This window comes from Homo sapiens, chromosome 4 (assembly GCF_000001405.40).
Source record: "Homo sapiens chromosome 4, GRCh38.p14 Primary Assembly".
Classification (NCBI taxonomy): Eukaryota; Metazoa; Chordata; class Mammalia; order Primates; family Hominidae; genus Homo; species Homo sapiens.
Window position 1 is genome coordinate 137817218 of NC_000004.12, and position 5243 is coordinate 137822460.

A 5243-nucleotide genomic window follows, 5' to 3' on the forward strand; every position below is an offset into this window, starting at 1 on the left:
AAGAAACCAAACCTGCCTTCACCTTGATCTTACACTTTTAGCCTCCAGAACTGTGAGAAAATAAATTTCTGTTGCTTGAGTCACTCAATCTGTGGTACTTTGTTATGTCAGTTCTCTAAAACTAATACACCTCAATAATATTTGTTTTATTGTTATTTAAAAAAATATGTTCCCATCACATCCCTATTCATTTGTGCTTTTATCTCCCCATTCATTTATTTAACATTGATTTAATAACCACTTTATAGCATATGGAGATAAAGATGGATGTGTGTGTGGGTGTGTACATAAACTCACTTAAAGGAACTCGGTTCAATGGAAGAGACACTTCATCATAAGTATAATCATTGTTCTATAAGAAAATAACCTTCATAAAACTAGAAACGTTAGAATTGAAAAACTGAAGAGACTTGTGAATTTTCTTTTAGTTTTTCTTTAAACAAAAACCTAGAAGTACTGAGTTCAAAACCCTAATGCACCATAGTTGTGAAAAATATAAGAATACTAATGATAAAATTACATTATGTAATTATTCCATATATCACCTCATGCTAAGTGTGTTCACTTTCATCATCTAATTTAATTCTCACAACACACTTATGTTATAGGAATTTTTTTATAGATAATGAATTGCAGCTTACAAAAATTGTCCAAAATCACATATTTCTCTCCATGTTGTATTTTTACATTTAAGCCTAGTGAATAGGTTTTCTCTTTAAAATTATCTCAGGATAGACTGTCTTAGTTTTGTGTTTTTTTATATAGTGGACTTGTCTTTTTTTTTTACTGTCTTTGAGTCTACTATATCTAATATATGTATAGCTACTCTTGCTCTTTTTCAGTTTCCATTTGCATGGAGTATCTTTTTCTATCCATTCACTTTCAGTCTATGCAAGTTCTTAAGGTGAAGTGACCCTCCTGTAGGCAACATATAGGTGAACCTTTTTTTATTCATTCAGTCACTGTATGCCTTTTAATTGGAAAATTCAGTCCATTTTCATTCAAAGGGGTAGAGTAATTTTCTCTAGTAGTACGTTTCAAATTTTTGCTTTTTATTTTAAATGCATCTATTATAAGTTTTTACTTTATGGTTACCATGAGACTTACAAAAAACATCTTAACGTTATAAAAGACTATTTTAAACAAAAAACAATTAACAAAAAAATCTACTTTTTTTTTTTTTTAAGACAGAGTCTTGCTCTGTTGCCCAGGCTGGAGTTCAGTGGTGCCATCTCGGCCTCCCGGGTTCAAGTGATTCTCCTGCCTCAGCCTCCCAAGTAGTTGGGATTACAGGTGCTGCCACCACGCCCAGCTAATTTTTTGTATTTTTATTGGGGACGGGGTTTCACCATGTTGGCCAGGCTGGTCTCAAACTCCTGACTTCAGATGATTCGCCCACCTCGGCCTCCCAAAGTGCAAAAATCTGCATTTTTACTCCATTCTCCCCCATTTTGAATTTTGGATGTCAGAATTTATATCTTTTAATGTTGTCTATTCTTAATAAGTTATTATAGTTATTAGTTTTAAGTTTTGTCTTATCTTCATATGTGTAAATATAGTGTATGAGTGAAATATATATACTATATATATATACCATATATAAACTATATATATAGTTTACATGCCATGATTGTAATATTAAAAAATTCTGAATTTATCTGTGTACTGACTTTTACCAGCGATCTTCATACTTTCAGCTGCTTTTGTGTTATAGGTTAGCATCCATTTGTTTCAGGTTGAAGAACTCCCTTTAGAATTTCTTGTAAGACAGGTTGGGTGGTGATGAATTCCATTAGCTTTGTTTGTCTGGGGAAGTCTTTACTTCTCCTTCATGTTTGAGGAATAGCTTTGCTGGGTACAGTATTCTTGATTAGGAGGTTTTGTTTGTTTGTTTACTTGTTTGTTTGTTTTTTCTTCAGCACTTTGAAAATACCATCTTACTTCCTCCTGTCCTCTAAGGTATCTGCTGAGAAGTCTGCTTCCAAGAATATTCAAACTTCCTTTTATGTTATTTGATTATTTTCTTTTGCTAGTATTAGGATCTACTCATCGTCTGTGACTTTTGAGAGTTTGATTATTTTATGCTTTGAAGTAGGGTTATTTGGGTTGAATCTGACTGGTGATCTTTGACCTATCTATACCTGGATATTTATTTCTCCACATTTGGAAAGTTTCCTGCTTGTTATTTCTTTGAATATTCCTTCTACCCCTTTGTCATCCTCACTTATTCTTGAATACCAGTGACTAGTACATTTTCTCTTTAGATGTTGTCCCATAGATATCTTAAGATTTAATTCCTCTTTATTATTTTTTTCTTTTTCCTCTTCTGTGTTTTCAAATAGGCTGTCTTTGCATTCATGGATTCTTCTGCTTGATCAATTCTGCTGTTGATGTTCTCTGTTGCATTTTTCAGTTTGTTCAATGTATCTTTCAGCTATTTGATGTCTATTTGATTTTTTAATAATTTCAATTACTTTTTTAAATTTTTAAAGTTCTGAATTATTTCTGTGTTTTCTTGGAGTTTATTGACTTTCCTTTAAACGGCTATTTTGAATTCCTAGTCTGAGTGTTCACATATTTCCACTTCTTTATGGTCATTGGTATCCTGTTTTGTCCATTTGATGAGGTCATATTTTCCTGATTGCTCTTGACGCTTATGGATATATATCAATGTCTATGGATTTAAAAATTTAAAAACTATTTGTTCCAGTCTTTGCTATAGGCTTTGTGTCCAACTTTTTATTATATTCTGTCTAGACATACTGTGCTGATTGATACAGTGTTTCTTAGTTTGAGATTACTGCCTTTTCTTCAGCACTAGATGGAGCCCTAAACCCAGGTTTGCTGCAAGTCTACTGTGGGCTCTGAGGTTGGCATAGCATTTAACTTGGATAGGCCTAGAGGAGACCCAAGAAAGTTACCTGAGCTATGTGGAAACACCAGCTAGGGAATCATGCCTACACAACCCATAGACCATTCTTCCTGAAACATGGCATTGCTCAACAGCCTCTCTGATTTTGTGTTTCCTCTGGTGAGAATGGAGAGCAGCCATACTGACATTCTGGCTACTGCTAGCCCCATCCCCATTCTTTGTCTCTAGCTGGTCTCAAGTGCTTTAGCGCTGCAGGCACTCACTACAGGCACTCCTGTAGGTCAAGGCAAAAGAGAGTTTCCTGTGAAGAGACCCAGGATAGTGAGGAAGCTGAGTGTATTTTAGTTTTTAATACATAGCTATCTTAACTAAACATGTGTATAAAAATAATTTATTTTCATTAGAAATAATTTTATTTTTACCCTAACATGTTTTTCTTTACATTGATGTAATATAAATTCCTATCCTTTGAATTGATGGTGATACAAATGAAATGGGCTTTTTGAAAACTAGTGAATGCATGGTTATCTGTTAAGAGCTGAGGCATAGAGTAAAAGCCCAGTGAAAACTGAAAAATATGTAAGTCATCATGAAGATGATTTAGAAACTAAAAAATATTAGTTTGCTAGATCTGTGCCAAAACAGTGGTTTTAAAAAACAAAAATTTAATGCCTTACAGTTCTAAAGACTAACGCCTAAAATTGAGGTATCAGCAGGGCCATAACTGCTCTGTGACTGAAAAGAATACTTCCTTACCTCTAGCTTCTGGTTTATCAGCAATCTTTAGAGTTTATCCGCTTGTAGATAGATGTATCACTCCAATCGCATGGCTATTTTTTCTCTGTGTCTTCATATCATCTTTTCCCTGTGCATTTTTGCCTCTGGGTCCGAATTTTCTCTTTGTATAAGGACAATAGTCATATTGGATTAAAAGCCACCTTAGTGACCTCATCTTAACTTGGTTAAATCTGCAATGACACTGTTTCCAAATAAGGTCACATACTCAGGTTCTGGGGTTTAGGGCTTCAGCATATCATTTGAAAGGAATACAATTCAATTAATAAGAGTGGTAAATAGGACTTTCTCATGCTTTTCCCTCAGCAAAATCATGAAGTAAAGGAAACTGATTCTTGGATTATACCAAATCTTTTTATTGTGCTCATTTTTGTTGGTGAGTCTGATCCCTTCTCTCTCCTTCTCATTAGGAACGCTGAGCTCAGTGCCCATGCATGTACTCTTCCCTCTTACTCCTCTCTCATCATAATCAAACTGCTCATTGGTCTTATATTCACCCTCCATCATAAATTATAGCTTCAGGGAGTATGTACATGTGGGGTGAAATGGATCCTTAAAGAAACAGAGTATATAGAGCATAGCAGAAAGCATATCCTGTTTATAGAGGCTTTTCCAAAATAGTTTATTCCTAATTTTCTTCAATGCTCATGCTAATAGCTATGATTCATTTTTAGACTCAGACTCAGAATAAATATAGCATTCTAATTATTTTTAAGGAAAATGTATTTTTCCTTAATAATAAATAAATTGTGCTACTTTTATCTGTTTGAAGTAATTAAAACGAGGATTTTGATGTTTTAATCTACAAAATTATACTGCAGGCACAAAATCAGAAATATTGAGTTAAAAGAAGAACGGACAAATTATACCAACTTTCAGTTACATTGTAGTAAATTCCTTTTGGCAACCTGTATACATGTATACAACAGATAGACCTAACTGAGTTTTTAAAGAACAATTTCAATATATTCCTAAAGCCATTTTCAAGGATTTCTGTGATTGAGGGAAAATAAAAATAAGAGAAGTTAATTAAAATGATTGAATTTTGTCAGTTTTAGCAAGGTAAGCTATATCCCATCAAAGACAGGGTGGATGCAATATAAAGAAAATAAATCAAATATGAAGATATTAAATTATTTAACAATAATTTACATAGTTTTGAATTAATAAGACTAGGCAAGCTTAGTGAATAAAGAAATGTGCATATATTTACTTAAAAACAACACATTTAAAATATGCTTCTAGTAAGTCTGACTTTTTTAAGGGTACACAATACAGTTGACATCAATCTAAAGCACTGGCATTCGATTTCTTATTATTTTGCATTACTAAATATCAAGTGTATAAATAATTATCATGCATAAATATAGGCTGGTTGTTCAAAATAACTTTCCACAGTGTTTCATCTATTTTGTATCCAGCTAAAATTTAACCCTATCTTCAGAGGGACAGTAGTATTTTAAACCAAGTCAATTAATAGTCTATATCAATCAGACAAAGGTATATTTTTTCTTAAAATAAATCCTACAAATAGCTTAATTTTAAGTTAATTCCTGATATTTGCATTATTTATTTC

The 5243-nt window shown here is 32.9% G+C and overlaps 1 annotated feature.

Annotated features, from left to right (window-relative positions):
* Positions 2727-2776: a silencer, noted in NCBI's record as "silent region_15692". NCBI's record gives its function as "represses an Ori minimal core promoter by ATAC-STARR-seq in GM12878 lymphoblastoid cells {active_cell/tissue: GM12878}" and the evidence as "EXISTENCE:reporter gene assay evidence [ECO:0000049][PMID:35858748]".